Source organism: Homo sapiens, chromosome 5 (assembly GCF_000001405.40).
Source record: "Homo sapiens chromosome 5, GRCh38.p14 Primary Assembly".
Taxonomy (NCBI): domain Eukaryota; kingdom Metazoa; phylum Chordata; class Mammalia; order Primates; family Hominidae; genus Homo; species Homo sapiens.
Window position 1 is genome coordinate 116,247,547 of NC_000005.10, and position 22,655 is coordinate 116,270,201.

General features: G+C 35.1%; 1 protein-coding gene and 1 non-coding gene across 3 annotated transcripts in view; both read left to right on the forward strand.

Moving 5' to 3' along the window:
• The window catches only part of COMMD10 (COMM domain containing 10), a 208,263-nt gene that overhangs the window by 162,522 nt on the left and 23,086 nt on the right, over nt 1–22,655 (forward strand). The window lies entirely within an intron of this gene.
• On the forward strand, nt 8,197–8,288 carry MIR12130 (microRNA 12130). Its single transcript, NR_162144.1, has one exon. It is a non-coding gene; the product is annotated as a microRNA 12130 (primary transcript).

Sequence of the window (22,655 nt, forward strand, 5' to 3'; positions counted from 1 at the left end):
CAGCAAAGACAGGGAATCAAGCTAAACGCCTGTCACTGGATAAAGAAAATGTGGTACATACACACCATGGAATACTATGCAGCCATAAAAAAGAACGAGATCATATCCTTTGCAGGGACATGGATGGAGCTGGAGGCCATTATCCTTAGCAAATTAATGCAGGAACAGAAAGCAACAACCACATGTTCTCCCTTATAAGTGGGAGCTAAATGATGAGAACACATGGATACATACAGGGGAACAACACAAACTCTGGGGTCTATTGGAGGGTGAAGGTGGGAGGAAGGAAAGGATCAGGAAAAATAACTAATGGATACTAGGCTTAATATCTGGTTGATGAAATAATCTGTACAACAGATCCCCATGACACAAGTTTACCTATGTAGCAAATATGCACATGTACCCCTGAACTTAAAAGTTAAAAAGATAACACAATATCAAAATTTTATGCAATACCTACAAATTTAATAAAAGTTGTACAAAGAATTACTGACAGAAATTTCAAGACCTAAGCAAACAAAAGAATCATATTCACTGACCAAGAATACCACTTTTACTGCTGTGAGTAGAAAATATTGTGCTAAGCCAAAAAAAAAAAAATAACTGAGCATTTTTCTTTAAGCTCTATACCAGCATGTGCTCACATCAGAATATTTATTAAACAGTCATCCTTCTATGACCTTGAATTTCTCTTAATTACAATTTAGGAGTGCATAAATTGACTTAAGTGTAGCTTTTGGACAGCATTGAAAGTTTCAGATACAGATGGATACAGATGGAACTACAAGGCAGCCCTGTGAGGGATAATTAGAAAAAGTATAATATTAAGAGTTAGGCATTTGTAAAGCAGGTAACCTGTTTGACAGAAAAAGAATTAAGGTTATTTACAACAAAGACTCCGGAAAGGTAAAGGAAGATAGGAGAGAGTAAAGCCCTTAGTGCTGATCTATGCCAGGTGTGCGAGACCCTAGTTAGGTATCAAAATAGCCTGTACAGTTCTGTTTTTGTTGTAATTTGGTTTTGTTTTGTTTTAATACATTTGTCCTGGTCTAAAGACTTGCACAATTTCTGGGAGTGGCCTTCTGTATAGCAGTTATTCATACAGGTCTCTGTTGGTTCTGTTAGAGACAAAGTTGAGTTACTGTGGCCTGGCTGTGCAAATACTCTTGTTTTCCTTTTCTACCAACTTTAAAAACAACACTAAAATAAAAACAAAATGTGTCATGTGAAGCAACTCATGTATGTTGCTATCTCTTGGATCCGGAAATATACTGACAAAATTGAAATGGAAGACCAGAGACAGAAAAAAACAAAAAAGCAATTTCTCACCATGCATATTATTTGAAACAAAAGAAATTTAAGTTACTGACATCTTGTTTGAACATCTTGTTTGGAGATTTCTAAAATCAAGTAATAATAAGTAACAGTAAATGGTACTGTGCCCATTATTATACTTTTAAGCTGTGTTAAATGTTAATGATATTGTCTTTAGCAATTTTTATTGTTTTTAGTGAAAGAAAAATATATTCACATCAGAGCATGGTTACCATTCATATTCTTCCTTTAAAGTCATATTTTTCATCATAAATTCTTATTACCTTGGTATATTTGGGACTGCTATGGTTGGGGCTATTTCAGATAACAAATAATTGCAAAGAAGTATTTACTTTTCATTGAAATATTCTTTAATTTTGTTTTATGACAGGATTGAGGTATGCCCTCAAACATTATTTCAGTGATTATTGTAGATAAGTATTCGAATCTTTCATCTGTTGGATATCTGGATAAATCAAATGGCCTGGCCATGGCAAACCACAAAATCCAGTTTCGTAGAGCTCATTTGTTTCAATGAAAGATTTTAATTAATCATATTGGTTGCATCACAATGATTTTGAAGTTACTTTGATATTAAATAAAAAAGAATTCTTATATAAGCAATGGTAATAAAGTACTAAAGTATTAATAAAGTATTGAGAATTTGAAATTGACTAGAGAATTCAAAAATGAGAAGAGACAAGTCAAGGTAAATTCCCTCATATTCACATCTACACCTTATGGGTTACAAACATTTGAATTCTGAAAGATAATGCTGGCACGACTGTGATGGTCAATGGGTTTATATCAAATAAACTATATTGTAGTTTATAAAATGGTTTTCTCTTACTATAGCCAATTAAAATCTTAAAAATAGAGTGTGTAATGTAGTACAGATTTTAAGTTGCCTTTATATGGCTTATGCTTCTTGTTATATTTGTGTTTTGGGGGGAATTCTTGGCAAGAGATTAGGTCCACATCTGATTTTATGAAATGAATCAACAATGACAGTAAAGTAATAAAGTCAACATAATGATTTAATTGTCTATGATTCACATAAGTCACTTAACAATTATATTTGTTTAGTGGTATGTTTATCATAAAGTTAATATGTTTCCAGATTGTTCAAGTTTTATATTGTTATATTTTTCAAATTTCATTTTATGAATAATGATAATTTATATTCCCTCAAACTTCCATGTATTACCATAGTTGATCTTTTCTGTTCATTCTCTGTTTTGAAAGAAATCTGACTTTTTACTTTCAAACATCTAGTTTTCATTATCTTGGAGCTAATTCAATCGCTGTGATACCTGGAAAAAATTACATTTTTTATCTTTTAGTTTGTAAGGAGACTTTTGAACCTGAAACAGAAACTGAATATTTTTGAGATTCACTAGATGGATTGGTTTTCTTAATATGCATTTGGTATAGTAATAATAACGTGTTATCTTTCAGGTATAATTTTCAATTCATATGAATATGAACAATTTATATTGAAATGCTGTGGCGTTTTTATTTGTTTAGTTCTTAGAAAGGGTAGCTGTTCTATGGGTTTACAGAGACAAGATTTTTATACATAATTGGAGATACTAGATGGAAGTAGTTTGGCTAAAAAGGAAAAAAAATTCTATTTGATTGAAGATGGAGGGCTGAGCATACATGATGACTTCTTATCCTTCCTGACACCTCACCTCATAGAGGCATATACATAAAGGAATAGATCCATGCAGCAAAGAAAATCAGAGAGACTTACTAGCACTTGGTATGTTTTCAAGAAATTACTAGGAGAAGGAAAAATGGGAATGAGCTAACTGATGGAACAAGCAGTGCAGAGGAGGAGATGGGAGGGAACTGATCAGCCTGCCTGAACCTTGGAGAGTCTCTCTTCTGAGAATCTGCAAGGATGAAGATACAGAGCTCAAAACAGGAGACTCAATTAAAGGACCATATCTGCAACTGGGACAATTGGCTCACCTACTTCACTTTTACAACCCAGATTAGAAACCAGTCTGATTTCAGTTCTTCTGAGCAATGAACCATATGGGAAAGGGTGACGTTTCTGTTGTGCCTCTTGGCATGCCACTACTAAGCCTACATTATTCTGGCTTGGGTTGGGGGGTGCAGTTTTCCTACCAGTTCCTGCCTTAAGTGAAATTCCTGCCTAAAGTGAAGCTTGCCCGTATCCAAAGCTACCCATGTGCACAGAGCTCCTAGTTAATGCTACCAAGTAGGCAAGAAGATAGGTGCAACCTGTTTTTATTATTATGCTTGTTCATTGTTTTCTGAAGCTGTCATTTCAAATGCTTGATTTTTCCATTATGTTCTTACCTTCAGTTTATTGTTCATTAAGTATTTGTTCCCCATTACACAGATTTTTCAAAAATTAAAGCAGACTCTTTTCTTTTTATTTATTTATTTATTTATTTATTTATTTATTTATTATTATACTTTAAGTTTTAGGGTACATGTGCACATTGTGCAGGTTAGTTACATACGTATACATGTGCCATGCTGGTGTGCTGCACCCACTAACTCGTCATCTAGCATTAGGTATATCTCCCAATGCTATCCCTCCCCCTTCCCCCCACCACACAACAGTCCCCAGAGTGTGATGTTCCCCTTCTTGTGTCCATGTGATCTCATTGTTCAATTCCCACCTATGAGTGAGAATATGCGGTGTTTGGTTTTTTTGTTCTTGCGATAGTTTACTGAGAATGATGATTTCCAATTTCATCCATGTCCCTACAAAGGACATGAACTCATCATTTTTTATGGCTGCATAGTATTCCATGGTGTATATGTGCCACATTTTCTTAATCCAGTCTATCATTGATGGACATTTGGGTTGGTTCCAAGTCTTTGCTATTGTGAATAATGCCACAATAAACATACGTGTGCATGTGTCTTTATAGCAGCATGATTTATAGTCCCTTGGGTATATACCCAGTAATGGGATGGCTGGATCACATGGTATTTCTAGTTCTAGATCCCTGAGGATTCGCCACACTGACTTCCACAAGGGTTGAACTAGTTGACAGTCCCACCAACAATGTAAAAGTGTTCCTATTTCTCCACATCCTCTCCAGCACCTGTTGTTTCCTGACTTTTTAATGATTGCCATTCTAAGTGGTGTGAGAAGGTGGCAAATCTCATTGTGGTTTTGATTTGCATTTGTCTGATGGCCAGTGATGGTGAGCATTTTTTCATGTGTGTTTTGGCTGCATAAATGTCTTCTTTTGAGAAGTGTCTGTTCATGTCCTTTGCCCACTTTTTGATGGGGTTGTTTGTTTTTTTCTTGTAAATTTGTTTGAGTTCATTGTAGATTCTGGATATTAGCCCTTTGTCAGATGAGTAGGTTGCGAAAATTTTCTCCCATTTTGTAGGCTGCCTGTTCACTCTGATGGTAGTTTCTTTTGCTGTGCAGAAGCTCTTTAGTTTAATTAGATCCCATTTGTCAATTTTGGCTTTTGTTGCCATTGCTTTTGGTGTTTTAGACATGAAGTCCTTGCCTGTGCCTATGTCCTGAATGGTATTGCCTAGGTTTTCTTCTAGGGTTTTTATGGTTTTAGGTCTAACATTTAAGTCCTGAATCCATCTTGAATTGATTTTTGTATAAGGTGTAAGGAAGGGATCCAGTTTCAGCTTTCTACATATGGCTAGCCAGTTTTCCCAGCACCATTTATTAAATAGGGAATCCTTTCCCCATTGCTTGTTTTTCTCAGGTTTGTCAAAGATCAGATAGTTGTAGCTATGTGGCATTATTTCTGAGGGCTCTGTTCTGTTCCATTGATCTATATCTCTGTTTTGGTACCAGTACCATGCTGTTTTGGTTACTGTAGCCTTGTAGTATAGTTTGAAGTCAGGTAGTGTGATGCCTCCAGCTTTGTCCTTTTGGCTTAGGATTGACTTGGCGATGCGGGCTCTTTTTTGGTTCCATATGAACTTTAAAGTAGTTTTTTCCAATTCTGTGAAGAAAGGCATTGGTAGCTTGATGGGGATGGCATTGAATCTGTAAATTACCTTGGGCAGTATGGCCATTTTCATGATATTGATTCTTCCTACCCATGAGCATGGAATGTTCTTCCATTTGTTTGTATCCTCTTTTATTTCGTTGAGCAGTGGTTTGTAGTTCTCCTTGAAGAGGTCCTTCACATCCCTTGTAAGTTGGATTCCTAGGTATTTTATTCTCTTTGAAGCAATTGTGAATGGGAGTTCACTCATGATTTGGCTCTCTGTCTGTTATTGGTGTATAAGAATGCTTGTGATTTTTGTACATTGATTTTGTATCCTGAGACTTTGCTGAAGTTGCTTATCAGCTTAAGGAGATTTTGGGCTGAGACAATGGGGTTTTCTAGATATACAATCATGTCATCTGCAAACAGGGACAATTTGACTTCCTCTTTTCCTAATTGAATACCCTTTATTTCCTTCTCCTGCCTAATTGCCCTGGCCAGAACTTCCAACACTATGTTGAATAGGAGTGGTGAGAGAGGGCATCCCTGTCTTGTGCTAGTGTTCAAAGTGAAAGCTTCCAGTTTTTGCCCATTCAGTATGATATTGGCTGTGGATTTGTCATAGATAGCTCTTATTATTTTGAAATATGTCCCATCAATACCTAATTTATTGAGAGTTTTTAGCATGAAGCGTTGTTGAATTTTGTCAAAGGCCTTTTCTGCATCTGTTGAGATAATCATGTGGTTTTTGTCTTTGGCTCTGTTTATATGCTGGATTACATTTATTGATTTGTGTATATTGAACCAGCCTTGCATCCCAGGGATGAAGCCCACTTGATCATGGTGGATAAGCTTTTTGATGTGCTGCTGGATTTGGTTTGCCAGTATTTTATTGAGGATTTTTGCATCAATGTTCATCAAGGATATTGGTCTAAAATTCTCTTTTTTGGTTGTGTCTTTGCCCGGCTTTGGTATCAGAATGATGCTGGCCTCATAAAATGAGTTAGGGAGGATTCCCTCTTTTTCTATTGATTGGAATAGTTTCAGAAGGAATGGTACTAGTTCCTCCTTGTACCTCTGGTAGAATTCGGCTGTGAATCCATCTGGTCCTGGACTCTTCTTGGTTGGTAAGCTATTGATTATTGCCACAATTTCAGATCCTGTTATTGGTCTTTTCAGAGATTGAACTTCTTCCTGGTTTATTCTTGGGAGAGTATATGTGTCAAGGACTTTATCCATTTCTTCTAGATTTTCTAGTTTATTTGCATAGAGGTGTTTGTAGTATTCTCTGATGGTAGTTTGTATTTCTGTGGGATCGGTGGTGATATCCCCTTTATCATTTTTTATTGCGTCTATTTGATTCTTCTCTCTTTTTTTCTTTATCATTCTTGCTAGCGGTCTATCAATTTTGTTGATCCTTTCAAAAAACCAGTTCCTGGATTCATTAATTTTTTGAAGGTTTTTTTGTGTCTGTATTTCCTTCAGTTCTGCTCTGATCTTAGTTATTTCTTGCCTTCTGCTAGCTTTTGAATGTGTTTGCCCTTGCTTTTCTAGTTCTTTTAATTGTGATGTTAGGGTGTTAATTTTGGATCTTTCCTGCTTTCTCTTGTGGGCATTTAGTGCTATAAATTTCCCTCTACACACTGCTTTGAATGCGTCCCAGAGATTCTGGTATGTTGTGTCTTTGTTCTTGTTGGTTTCAAAGAACATCTTTATTTCTGCCTTCATTTCGTTATGTACCCAGTAGTCATTCAGGAGCAGGTGGTTCAGTTTCCATGTAGTTGAGTGGTTTTGAGTGAGATTCTTAATCCTGAGTTCTAGTTTGATTGCACTGTGGTCTGAGAGATAGTTTGTTATAATTTCTGATCTTTTACATTTGCTGAGGAGATCTTTACTTCCAAGTATGTGGTCAGTTTTGGAATAGGTGTGGTGTGGTGCTGACAAAAATGTATATTCTGTTGATTTGGGGTGGAGAGTTCTGTAGATGTCTATTAGGTCCGCTTGGTGCAGAGCTGAGTTCAATTCCTGGGTATCCTTGTTGACTTTCTGTCTCGTTGATCTGTCTAATATTGACAGTGGGGTGTTAAAGTCTCCCATTATTAATGTGTGGGAGTCTAAGTCTCTTTGTAGGTCACTCAGGACTTGCTTTATGAATCTTGGTGCTCCTGTATTGGGTGCATATATATTTAGGATAGTTAGCTCTTCTTGTTGAATTGATCCCTTTAGCAGGATGTAATGGCCTTCTTTGTCTCTTTTGATCTTTGTTGGTTTAAAGTCTGTTTTATCCAAGACTAGGATTGCAACCCCTGCCTTTTTTTGTTTTCCATTTGCTTGGTAGATCTTCCTCCATCCTTTTATTTTGAGCCTATGTGTGTCTCTGCCCGTGAGATGGGTTTCCTGAACACAGCACACTGATGGGTCTTGACTCTTTATCCAATTTGCCAGTCTGTGTCTTTTAGTTGGAGCATTTAGTCCATTTACATTTAAAGTTAATAGTGTTATGTGTGAATTTGATCCTGTCATTATGATGTTAGCTGGTTATTTTGCTCGTTAGTTGATGCAGTTTCTTCCTAGTCTTGATGGTCGTTACATTTTGGCATGATTTTGCAGCGGCTGGTACTGGTTGTTCCTTTCCGTGTTTAGTGCTTCCTTCAGGAGCTCTTTTAGGGCAGGCCTGGTGGTGACAAAATCTCTCAGCATTTGCTTGAGCAGACTCTATTTTCAAGAGAAGTAGTTGAGTCTTAGGAGTCTGCAGAAACTACTTTTACCTCTGAAGACATTTGCTAATATGTTGATGGGATATAATTTAGGAACAATTAGTGTTTACATTTTATCATTTTAGTTTGAATTTAATAATAGCATAAGCTAACACTGTTATTTAATAGTGTACGTAAATGCTAACTGAATATATATGTATTCAGTTACTTATTCTTTATATCTTACAGGCAAAAAAGATACAACCCATGAGTGCTTACTTTTTCGGGTTGTACCTTTTTTGCCTGTAAGCCATAAAGAGTATTTTATTAAAACATTAAGAAATGTTAGTCTCATTAAGTAGAAGAGAAGAACATAATTCTTATTTTTAAGCCATTTAGTAGTGGGAATTGAATGTAGTGTTCAGAAACGTTGCAGTTAGATCCACTCTTAATTTTTCTCATTTCCTTAAATTTCATGGATATGCATATTGAGCTATTTTCGTATTCAATCTCAGCTAAATAAAGTAGCGCAAATATGCATGACTGAAATTACCTTCTATAAAAAGTTCCAAAAGCATTTGAAAAATATCCCACGGGTGATAAGTCTGTAATATTTTACTTTATTAAAATGCTGTACCTGGCTTCTGAGTGGTTATCTAAGAAGAAGAAAAGAATCTACAGTATAATGAGAGTTAACCATGTTTTGTCCAAAATGATTTTGAATCACCGTTCGGACAGATCTTGAAGACTAGTGGAAACTTCAAATGGCAGTATCGAACTTCTGTTCCTTTTGGGGTTGTTGAGTATATGAAGAATATTATTTTTCTGTGTCTGACAGTCGGTAGCTTTGACATGATTATAGTGAAGTATAATTTAGATGTTAGTTTTAACTATAATAGACTGTAACTCCTTGTATTTTGGGTGCTGTAGAAATTACCTTTCCCTTTGCATGTACGTGACAGTTAAGATCTGAAGAATCTTGATTAATGGTTCTTGGATTTATGTTTAAAGAAATCAAGGATGGGCATTTTTCTCATCTCCGTCTTTGGCATTTGAAACAGTATACAGGTTGAGTATTCCTTATCCAAAATGGTTGGAACCAGAAATGTTTCAGATTTTGGATTTTTTCATATTTTGTAATGTTTTCATACACGTAATGAGATATGTTGGGATGGGACCCAAGTCTTAACGTGAATTCATTTATTTTTTATGTATATCATAAACATATAGGTTGAAGGTAATTTAATGTAATATTTTGAATAATTTTGTGCATTAAACAAAGTTTGCATACATTGAATCATCAGAAAGCAAAGGTATCCCTGTCTCAGCCAGCCACGTGGATACTCTGTGGTGTTTGGCATCACTGTCATTCCTGACTCTGAATTTGTATGCTACTGATAAACAACTCTTTTATTAGACTTACTCACACATATGTACTTAACAGTGAAAAAAATGAGTTCAGAGTAACTAAGCAGCATAATAGCATCAAACAATGGCAGGCTTTCATACTTTACCTACAGTGCTGTTTTTGTTAAAAGGTTACTCTACTCTGTATTTTATTTTTTTTAGGTAAGAAGAAATATTGGAAACATTTGAGAGATCAAGAAATGGGTCCTCTAGGGATGAGGAGACCTTCTGAATAAACTATGTCCTGTGTTCCTGCATTTTGACAGCAACCCATCACATAAGGCCACTTACGGAATTTTCTACTTGTAGTGTCATGTCAGTGCTCAAAAACTTTCAGATGTTGGAGCATTTCAGATTTCAGATTTTCAGATTAGGGATGCACAACCTTTACAAAGGGCCTTTATAGAGATTTTAAATATATAACTTGTTGTCTACTGAGTAAAAGATGGGCTGCTTCTGTTTTTCTCCTAACAGTATTTTCAGCTTCTGTACTAACCAGTTCCAGATGTTCCACGATAAAGAAATATTTAATTTTCATATGAAATTTATGAAAGGAAAATGCATAGGAGGGCATTTTAGCAAAACAATAAGACAAAACAGCTTTTGACAGTTGGTTTGCTATTAATAAGTACATAGGAGTACACAGTAAATGGAAGGCTCATTTAGACCCTTAGAATTTTTCTTAGCAGGGGGCCCTTTACCTGAAATCATGGTACTAGTTTTAAACTTCATGTTCTTTTTTGTAAAGACATTTAAGGCGATCAGCTCTTTTCAAAATTAGGTTAATTTTTCAGAAAGAAATAATATATCAAATAAAAGGAATATTATGGTGGGTTCAGATGAATTTTAATTGAAACATAAGCAACAGAAAATTTTAAGATTCTTATATGTGGACCACTTTGTATAATGTGCCTACAAGGTAAAGATTTTGTGGTCATCTGAATTTTGGGAGAAGTAATTTTCCAAGAATTAATACTTAAGCTTTTTGAATCACAGTTTTGTATACCCAATTTCATTATTTGGTTCTGTGCGATATAGAATGTTCAAGGCTAACTATAATCATTTTTGTCCAATTTGTTTTAAAGAGGGTTCAGCAGCTCCAGGAATGGTATAATGGTGAATGATGTTTCCATATCAATACAGATCTACAAATATGAGTATATTTGAAGAAAAGCAAATTCATATTGAATTTAAAGGCATATAAATTGGATTTCTTTTCCATTCATGGACATCTACTTGTATAAAGAATAAAAATTACAGTTTGAATACATCCAAAACCTTTTCTCTTACCGAATTTCAATACTCTTTTCTAACAATGTCTTAGAATTTTGTAGTATATCTATTCCTCCCCTAGATAAGATCTGTAGCACACTTACTCTCTTCCTCCCTGTTACTATCCTAGAATGCTTTTGTATTTTAATTTTAGATTATTTCCTTTTAAAATTATGCATAAATAATTATTTAAATTTAGCTTCCTACTTTTTGGACACTACTATTGGACACCACCACATCTTTTTTTCTCTGGATTGATTTTTTTTTGTTTTACTGGAGTTGATCATTTAATAATTCTTAGATTGTATCTGAAGGTATTAAACTAGCCTGTTTTTGCATGACTGAAAATGTATATTTATTCTCACTTGATTGCTGATTAGACTTGACATAGAGTCCTATGTTTAAGTCATTTTATCTTAGATCTTTGAAAATACTATTCTATTGACTTTTCTGATATTGCTAAAAAGATTTCTGATATCAATATAATTTTTGTACCACTGTAGATGACCCTTTTTCATCCCTTCGTCCTCTTTCTTTCTCTTTGGAAGATTTTGGAATTTTTATCCTTGGGGTTTGATACTACGCTAGGATGCCATATTATTAATGCTTTGCCTCATCTGCCTCTCCCTGCACCTCTGCTTTTGTCTGAAACCCGAATCTACCTTTAGCTAAGGGAAATTTTCTTCTTTCATTTCTGTGATTGCTTTTTCTACTCAGTTCCGTTTTATTCTTTTTTTCAGTAGCTACTAGAACTTCTAGATCTATCCTCCTTTTCTCTTACTTTATATTTCCTCATTTTGCAGGGGATTCTGAATAATCTTTTGTCTTTGTCTTCTATCTCAATAATTTTATCTTTAGCTACGTCCTTTAATTTTTTTTTTTTTTTTTTTCCTGAGAGTCTCGCTTTCTCACCCAGGCTGGGATGCAGTGATGCAATCTTGGCTCACTGCAACCTCTGCTTCCTGGGTTCAAGTGATTCTCCCACCTCAGCCTCCAGAGTACCTGGGATTACAGGTGCACGCCACCATGCCTGGCCAATTTTTGTATTTTTAGTACAGACAGGATCTCACCATGTTGGCCAGGCTGGTCTTAAAGGTCCTTTAATTTTTCATTTTCTTTTTTAAGGCTTTGTATTGTCATTATTTTGTTAGTCATGTTTTTAATTTTGTAGCAGTCTTTTCCATAATTGTTTTTTTTTGTCTGTGTGCTATCTTTTCAAATCTCACTGAGAATTACAATTATATTTAACGTTTTCCTCTGTTTCTTTTACTCTGCTGAGTGTTATTTCTTCAATATGTTAAGTTTGGTGACTTTCTTGCTAATTTTTCCTCAAGTGTTTGGTGATTTTTGGTTGTTTGTTGTTTGTTGAATAGTTGAGAGCCTAGGCTGAACAGTCTTGGTGGCTGGAGGGTATTTATTTCATCAGCCCAAATGAGAATCCCTTTTTACTTCTTGTACTATGTAGATTCTCATTACAGAAGCCTTCATCCAATAACTGCAGGGCAAAAGAAGTGGGTGTGGCTGGGCAGGGTATTCCCGGTTGTAGAAGTTTTTCACCTGGGTTTCGGACTACATTTCCATAAATTGGCTGCTACCTTGTTCTGTTTCTCTAATCTGGGACTCTCCATAGTCAGAAATTGCATTTGGGAGAATGTACTCCTGCTTTTGTTATTTATTGACCATGAGCTTTGAGTTTCTCTGAGCCTCTATAGCAGACTCACACTTTCTTGTTTTAGCTGCAGGTTTCTCCAATGTGATTTTGCCTTTAAACTAATCACATCTCCTCTGATTTGTGTTTGTTTACAGAGCTTCTTCAAAATTTTTGGTCTGCAGTGGTATTATTTTCCTGCACTATCATTCTTTCTTCTTTTTAGTAATATATTTTATATGGAATTTGAGGGGAAAGGAAAGAGGTAAATGTGTCCTCATTGGCCATCCATTCTTTTTTAAAGTAAAATGGAAAAATACAGATTTTGAAATTAAGAGAACTAAGAGATGATGAAACCATTTCAATGGAGACTTATCAACATATTATGAAGGGAGGAAAATGTGCTGAATATTGCTGATGTTTAATGAATTTAGAAAGGACATTTATTTAGCATTAGCCTCTGTCACCAATTTATTATTTTTCCCTGTGGAAACTAATGACTTTGGAGAAATTTCTTGGGTAATGTTTATTGTTAGTCATCCTGTTTAAGAACAACTTGCTTAAGGTGATATTTTTATTTCATGGTAGCAAATGGATTGTTTTGACATATTCAGTGTGGACCCATTTAAAGTAGGCATGTTATTTTCAAAAGTGCCATGGCATGTCAGTATCTTGTAAATTCTAACTTAACCAATATTAAAGAAGTAAACCTTCATGTACTTTAATGGAGATCACAAAAGGACTTCACTGTCTTGTTCTATGCAAGATTTAGTAAAAACAGAGTATTAGGTGTTATAGTAATGGTCATGCAAAGCAGTAGCTCATCTGTACAAGAAAATTAATGGTCTTCTAAAATGGCCAGAGATTTGTTTATAACTTCATTTTAATTAATTACATTTTTGGAAAATGAGTTGAATTTAAGATTAGACCCCAGGCTTGAATTTGTCATATTTTTTATAATGGTATTTTGAAACAAAGTTTGCTAATAGATGTTTAAAAGAGAGTAAGAAAATATTTACATAGGGTTTATTTGTGGAGTAAGTATTGTGTCTTTGTCATTATTCAAAAATAGAAAAAAGTTGTGAAGCAACATGTTCTCTTTGTGAATGTTGAAAATTACTAACAGATCTGTGCGATTGGTTTTGTATGCCTTGTGAAGACTTGCCAAATTTGATTTTATTTTTCTCTTTTACTTTTTTCTAGTAAAGCCAAGTCCTACTTGAGAGACATCAGTAGCCTATGGAAATTTGTTGCTTTTCTTTGAAAAGTGCACCTGCATCCAAAACTGAGTAAAAACATATTTCAGGAAGAAAACTATAACTAATTAAATTTCTCAGTACTACCTAATTTGCCAATATAACTAGTTTTGGTTAAAAAGAAGTTGATTATAATGTTCATAACTGTATATTGAACAGAAAAACTGGATGCAATCAGAAATCATAGGTGTAGTCAAGGAGATGAAAATTGTAGATGTGACCGTTGCTATTTGCTTTTAAGGTTTCCTAATCTTGCCTAGCGTAATGACTGAGTTTTATGGGTATTTGGAGGATTTTCTTGTTCCAGGTGGTGGTCGTCCTCCTTATTTTATTTTTTGGTAAGGCTAGGAGTAATGTAGATGTGTATTCTTCTCATAACTTAGTAAAACTCTTTTATCAAATTGGTCAGTGCAGCCTGCAGCTGGGGACTTCTAAAAACATGTTACCATGACTAGAAATTTTTATTTCAGTGCACTTACTTGACATCTTTCTGGTTATTATTGACCAAAACACTTGACTCCTGCCTCTTCTTTCTTTTTATCCATTTTGTTGTCCTTATTTTGCATATTTTTGCATATGTACAGATTTCTGGCTTCCTCATTCCTATCAACAACCAGAATAACTTTTAGTGGTCTAACTTGTATCTTCACTTATCAACTTAAACTGTTCTTTTTGAAATGTTACCAGTGGGTTCAGTGCTCCTGTCTCTGTTCTCTGTCTCTGGATCTCTCTTCAACCTTTGGTTCCACTGGCCAGCCATTCTTAACTGTTTCGGTTTCAGAAATATTTTTTCCCTTTAGTTTTATAATAATAATTAGCTAATTTTTCTTGAGCACTTACTTTGTATCTTTGACTATTCTAAGCACTTTACATGTCATATGATCTTTAACACAATCCTTAGAGATCTAAGTTTGTATTATTTTTTCCACTTTCAGATAAAGAAGGTAAGGCACAGAGAGGTTAATTACTTTGTTTGAGGCCACACTAATAAGTGGTAGAATCAGGATTCAGACACAGGCAGTCTGACTAAAGAGCTGGTACTTTTCCTCTTTAGATGCTATACTATTCTGATGAGTGTCTCCTCTCATCTTTTTCTGTTTGGATCTAGTTGTGTATATTTTCATTTGCCCTACACTTACCTGGTTAGGTTAAAATTTCTACATCCCTCAAAACTGCTGAAGTATCAGTTAAAAATATAGTTTTCAACAGAATAGAAGTTTAATACATGTTGTGAACCAATTTCTTCGTGTTGCCTTTTGAAATTAAATTTAAAGAGAGCAGTCATTAATGGCTCAAAGTTAGACCTAAGAGGATTTATAGGTGATGTGTATATGTGTTTTTGTTTTATCCATCATTCTTCAGTTTCTTAATTACCAATACTATACCAAGACAAATGCCTGCATTTCATCATTAACCATTAAAATATGATTTTCTTAGAGTTGAAGATTGAATTTAGGGCCAGTTTTTTCAAGTACATTAATTATGTTTAAATGTGTAAGTCTACTCATTATAAAAGTGAATTATTTTGTAAGTGTTGGTTATTAAGTCTGTGTATTCCCAAGATTTTCAGTCTGAAGTGAGCTGCAGATACAATGCCTAAGCATTTTGTCCTTTGTATTTTGTACCAGCAAAATGAAAATCATTTTTTATAGCCTCATTACTCATTCCCAAAATGACCTGAGGTACCAGTTAGGTCCATTTGCACAATATCTGGCAATATTTCTATGTCAAATATGTTACAATCTGGTATTTAAAATGGCCACTGTAAGTATTATCAGGCACTATTGTTCCTTTTTAAAAAACAGTATAAAATTTGAAAACAGTGCTTTGGAAATTATGTCTTTAGTGGCTGTAATATAAATGGTTAACCTTACAAAGGGAAAACATGAAATTGTTTGAAATTGGTTTATATTGGTTGTCATGCTAAACATATTTTTTAATAGTTTGCTTATTTGGTTTGATATTGGTTGTCATGATTTAAAATGCTATGGTTGTGTAGAAGTTCTTCACGAATATATAAGCCGTTTTTACTTACACATATATTTTAGAAAATGAATAGTTTATATTTTTGCTGTTGGAGGACTTTTTAAAAACATCTATGAAACACTAAGATACGTCTGAATTGGAGCTGAGGACTAAGCTCTCATTTATCTTGCCCAAATTCCTACATAAGGGATCTAGAGAGTCATGCCCTACAAACCATAAATTCTCATCAGATGGGTTTTATTTGACCCTATGTATCATGACTTACTTTTCAATCTGACTCTGGCATAACATTACGAGACAAGGAAAAAATATTTAACCCCAAAATATATTTCCTTGCCATACCTTGAAATTGCCCTGCAAAGTCTCTTGTGGGAAAAATCCACATCTTATAGAGAATCCCCTTTCCTCTTTGTTTTCCTTCCTTTCTTTCCAGATCCAGGCGATAATCAACTAAGAGCCAGGCACCCTTTTAGGTCCGATAAGAAACATTTTACAGCCTGCTCTCTCTCTGAAGTCTGCTCTCTGAGAGATTCCTCTGCCCAATAAAACTTGGTCTCCACAATCGTTTTTCTTAACTTGAACATTCCTTTCCATTGATCCCAGGTCTTGAGATAAACTCGACCAATTGTCAACTAGAAAATATTTAAATTTACCTATAGCCTGGAAGCTCCCCGCGCCCCTACTTTTTGTTCTCCTGCCTTTCTGAACCAAACCAGTGTATTTCTTAAATCTATTTGATTGATATCTCATGCCTCCCTAAAAATATATAAAACCAAAATGTACCCCGACCACCTTGGGCACATGTTCTCAGGACCTCCTGAGGGCTGTGTCACAAGCCATGGTCGCTCATATTTGGCTCAGAATAAATCTCTTCAAATGTTTTACGGAGTTTGACTCTTTTCGTCGACAGAGCAAACCGTACTTCCTGAAAAGATTAAGAGTTAGACAGCTAGACTTTATTCAGAGTGTGAACCTATGTACCTACTATGTAAAATGCAAGAGCTTTAGAGCCTTTAACTAAAGGAGTGGCCCCTAAATCAAGTCAAACTCTTCTGTTTCCCAACTACCTCTTGCTGTATAGGAGCCATCTGGCTCTGCTTTCTCAGGTGTACATTCTTAGAGGAATTTTAGTGATTAAAGTACAGGCCTTGGTGCTGGGGGAAGAAAGAGGGTTTTCTTCTGCAGGTTTGTTAAACTGTAATTCAGGTCAAATTTCGAATATACGTATGAAGGCACAAAAGTGTTTAATATTTTAGTTTATTCCCTTTAGTAGTTACAAAAATTACTGCTTAGTGAAAACTTAGCATCAGGATATCCCTTCACTAAAATCTAGGTCTGTAATTTGACAATTCATTTCACAGCACCTGACATTACTGTTACATTCACTGTAGCACTTAGCATGCAAAGATTATATTTTCTACAACTCTCAGTCTCCTCTGTTATTGGATGATGCGAGCGCATTAACTACAAAGTCACGTAAAGGTCAAGTCAAGGCTTAATTTGAAAACAGAAGCCTGAGACCCATCCGTTTACATAACAGACACAGCACTGTGGTCTCCTGTGTGACTGTTAGGTCTGAGCACTGCCCCATATTGCTAATTTCTCACATTGCTTTTCTTAACATTTTTTTTCTTTAGGAGCTTGATGGAGAGATATACCATTTCTGTCAGGTTTTGCAAAATGTCTTGAGCTCCTTGAAAAATAGATGTCATGTAAATGCAAAGTACGGTCAGTTCTTTTAGCCTAAGACATTATTTGATTTTTATAGCAAGTCTATTCCATGTAAATGACATGCAGTCATATAGCTTACCATGAATACGTTCATGTCCTAAAAATCTCAGATACTGCCTATATTCAGAGTAGCTAACATTTAATTTTGTTTTCATGTGTTCTTTGAAAAGAGTAGGGAAAATGTTTTTTATATTATTATGGCTTAATCTCTGGATTTGGTCACCAGTGAAATGAATTTCATAGCCTCATTCTATTACAGACATTTTGTCTGCTTCGCAAAATAACACAATTTTGCATTATTGGTGGTCTGTGTTCAAGAGACATTACATCTAAAGAGAGCTAGAAATTGCAATTTAATACTAAGCAATGTGATGTGGGAAAGGAGGCCAACTCTCCACATGCTCTTTCTGCTAGAGCATAATATTCTGCATATTGACTTTTTTTTCACTATCCCCAAAAGTCAGGATTTTTCATTAAGTTCTGATAATACTGTTGAAATTGACCTTGATTATTCATGTAAAGGGCCTCTCAGACAACCTATAGGTATGAGAATAGCTTTCAGAATTGTAATCATATTTAGGTTATATTTAAGCAGTGATGTTACACACTTCCCAAAAAGTAATTTATTGGGACATTTACATAACTCTGTGTACTTAAATTTATCTACTTATTGCTTATTTAAAACATTACATATGAGAGTTTGTGTTTTCCTTACTCACCATTTTCCATACGGCTTTATTTTCCTCTTAGTTTGAAAACTTAAAAAAAATTCAAGTTAACAAGCATTTATTAAACATCTGTTGTATTCAAGGCCCTGGGCTACGTACATGTGGAACATAAAAAATGATGATGATGACAGTGATTGCAAACACTTGCAATAAGTCCTCATATTGCTGTCAAGTAGGTGCTGTTGTTATGCCATATTACAAATGAAGCAGATGAGCCATAGAATATTTCATAATTTGCTCAAGGTCACACAGCCAGTGATTTGAGAAGACTGGCTTAAAACACATGCAGTTCGACACCAGAGATGACACTCTTAACCACTGTGCTATACTAAAATGAAGACAAGATCCTACCCTTAAGAACCTTTCATCCTACTAGAAAAGTGGTAATACATATTCAGAGAAAAAAACAAAAAGAAAACAGTAAGTCAGTATGTGTTAGGTGCTGCATTACTGGCTCAAATATGGAAGACATTGGTGCTCAGAAAGAGATGTATTTCTTTTGGGAGGTGGGGAAGGCCTCCTGGAAGAAGTGTTTTAGCTGACCCTTAAAAAAGCGGCAGGATTTTGTCAAGTGAAGTTAATTAGAGGAAGACCTTCTCCTTAAGGGGGCAATGAGAACAAAGGCATTGTTTTCAGGAAAATGCAGTGCCCAAAGTTAATTTGACTATATGAAAAAGAAAAATATTTATACCTATGCAGACCTTTGAATGTAATGCATGTTTTCATTTAAAATTAGAAATTTATATAATTTTTGAGGTATTATGGATCCAAATTGTAGATTTTTTAAAGGTTAAGCTGTTATATTTTTCTTTTTAACTAAAGGGGTATATTTCAATGGAAAGGAGTTGCCCAAACTGAAATCCGCAGCGATGCTAAGGAATAACATTTATTTCATATGAAAATATTGTAAAATATTTTATGGATATTGTTTTTTACATCTAATCTTAACATTATCTGTAAGCTGAACTTTGATGCAGTAGTAGTAAACCTACTTTCTACAGGAACTACTTCTATTACACTCTTTAATTTAAATCTCTTTCCATAACCTGTCAATATTTAAAGTACAACAAAAGATAGTTGCACTCAGAATAAAAATTTGTTTTCACAGAGAATTTTAGCCCATTATCCCTGATGAACATCGATGCAAAAATCCTCAATAAAACACTGGCAAACTGAATCCAGCAGCACATCAAAAAGCTTAACCACCATGATCAAGTGGGCTTCATCCCTGGGATGCAAGGCTGGTTCAACATACGCAAATCAATGAATGTAATCCATCATATAAACAGAACCAAAGACAAAAACGACAAGATTATCTCAATAGATGCAGAAAAGGCCTTTGACAAAATTCAACAGCCGTTCATGCTAAACACTCTCAATAAATTAGGTATTGATGGGATATATCTCAAAATAATAAGAGCTATTTATGACAGACCCACAGCCAATATCATACTGAATGGACAAAAACTGGAAGCATTCCCTTTGAAAAGTGGCACAAGACAAGGATGCCCTCTCTCACCACTCCTATTCAACATAGTATTGGAAATTCTGGCCAGGGCAATCAGACAGGAGAAAGAAATAAAGGGTAGTCAATTAGGAAAAGAGGAAGTCAAATGGTCCCTGTTTGCAGATGACATGATTGTGTATTTAGAAAACCTCATTGTCTCCAGCCCAAAATCTCCTTAAGCTGATAAGCAACTTCAGCAAAGTCTCAGGACACAAAATCAATGTGCAAAAATCACAAGCATTCCTATACACCAATAACAGACAAACAGAGAGTGAAATCATGAGTGAACTCCCATTCACAATGGCTTCAAAGAGAATAAAATACCTAGGAATCCAATTTACAAGGGATGTGAAGGACCTCTTCAAGGAGAACTACAAACCACTGCTCAACGAAATAAAAGAGGACACAAACAAATGGAAGAACATTCTATGTTCATGGATAGGAAGAATCAATATCATGAAAATGGCCATACTGCCCAAGGTAATTTACAGATTCAATGCCATCCCCATCAAGCTACCACTGACTTTCTTCACAGAATTGGAAAAAACTACTTTAAAGTTCATATGGAACCAAAAAAGAGCCTGCATTGCCAAGACAATCATAAGCCAAAAGAACAAAGCTGGAGGCATCACATTACCTGACTTCAGACTATACTACAAGGCTACAGTAACCAAAACAGCATGGTACTGGTACCAAAACAGAGATATAGCTCAATGGAACAGAACAGAGTCCTCAGACATAATACCACACATCTACAACCATCTGATCTTTGACAAACCTGAGAAAAACAAGCAATGGGGAAAGGATTCCCTATTTAATAAATGGTGCTGGGAAAACTGGCTAGCCATATGTAGAAAGCTGAAACTGGATCCCTTCCTTACACCTTATACAAAAATTAATTCGAGATGGATTAAAGACTTACATGTTAGACCTAAAACCATAAAAACCCTAGAAGAAAACCTAGGCAATACCATTCAGGACATAGGCATGGGCAAGGACTTCATGTCTAAAACACCAAAAGCAATGGTAACAAAAGCCAAAATTGACAAATGGGATCTAATTAAACTAAAGAGCTTCTGCACAGCAAAAGAAACTACCATTAGAATGAACAGGCAACCTACAGAATGGAAGAAAATGTTTGCAATCTACCCATCTGACAAAGGGCTAATATCCAGAATCTACAAAGAACTTAAACAAATTTACAAGAAAAAAATCAAACAACTCCATCAAAAAGTGGGTGAAGGATATGAACAGACACTTCTCAAAAGAAGACATTTATGCAGCCAAAAAACACATGAAAAAATGCTCATCATCACTGGCCATCAGACAAATGCAAATCAAAACCACAATGAGATACCATCTCATACCAGTTAGAATGGCAATCATTAAAAAGTCAGGAAACAACAGGTGCTGGAGAGGATGTGGAGAAATAGGAACACTTTTACACTATTGGTGAGACTGTAAACTAGTTCAACCATTGTGGAAGACAGTGTGGCGATTCCTCAAGGATCTAGAACTAGAAATACCATTTGACCCAGCCATCCCATTACTGGGTATATACCCAAAGGAATATAAATCATGCTGCTATAAAGACACACACATATGTTTATTGCGGCACTATTCACAATAGCAAAGACTTGGAACCAACCCAAATGCCCATCAGTGATAGACTGGATTAAGAAAATGTGACACACATGCACCATGGAATACTGTGCAGCCATAAAAAAGGATGAGTTTATGTCCTTTGTACGGACATGGATGAAGCTGGAAACCATCATTCTCAGGAAACTATTGCAAGGACAGAAAACCAAACACCGCATATTCTCACTCATAGGTGGGAATTGAACAATGAGAACACTTGGACACAGAGAGAGGAACATCACAAACCGGAGCCTGTTGTGGGGTGGGGGGAAGGGAAAGGGATAGCATTAGGAGATATACCTAATGTAAATGACGAGTTAATGGGTGCAGCACACCAACATGGCACGTGTATACATATGTAACAAACCTGCATGTTGTGCACATGTACCCTAGAGCTTAAAGTATAATAATAATAATTTAAAAAGATAAAAATGCTTAAACAGAAAAAAAATTGGTTTTTACTGTCATGAATTTTTCCCACGTTTATGTTTATTAACAACTGACACAAACAAAACCTGTACAGAAAGTACTCTTTATTATACACTTTATTTCAAAGTACTGAAATAGTGTTTTATGATCATAGTATTTCTAGAGGAAAGATTTTCTCCCAAGCCTTTAAGGGGAAAGCTAATCCACTTGGAGAAATTTTGGGCCACCCACCAAACCTGTGATTTCCTGCCCCAATTTATGAACCAAGTTATACTGAGATCGTTAAATGGTGTGATTTCTCCTTATGACTTTCACATTTTACTTTATAGGTTATATTGACTTTTAGATTTCAGGTAGTAAAATAAAAAATCTTATGCAGTTCAAGTTAGAAAAATTGGATTAGTCCAAGTGATATTTTCACCTGGTATTTTTTTTCAGGCATTTCAATGTTACTTTTTATTACATTTATAAAATTATATGTTTTAAATTGTATGGTTTTCCCTTATCTTTTTGAAAAATACCATACTGATTCATCTCAAATATTTTAGCCTCTTCTTAAGTTTCCCTTTCCCCTCAACTTTTCCGTAAGCGCACAAAAGAAAGTATTGATTTTTGCCAATTATTTTGGTTGCTGAGGTTGTAAGCCATCTTGGTTTGCTTACATGTAGGTTATTAAAGTACCCTTCCTAGTCTGACTTGCCAGTCTTACTTCTCTACCTTTTGTTAGAGGAATAAGGGATGAGGATGAGAGAATTAATATATATTTTTTACCCCATTTCTGCATATTTTAATCCCATCTCCAGAAACCAGGTTAATTTCACCTCTGTCACAAATTTGAAAGGAAGGGAAAAGATGTATTAATTGCCATTTTTATTGTTATTTTCTGACTTTCAAGCCTTCTAATCTAAGGTTAGTAAATGGACAGCATTTAAAAAAATATTCTTGTTATCTTGACATAATGAAGAATTATGTTTTTGAGTATTTTGTCCATTGTTTCTTATTTCCTACTTTACATTTTTATTTACAGCAAGGTTTTATCCTTTTACTAAAGGGAAGGAGATGGGATGAATGGCAGACTTTAACT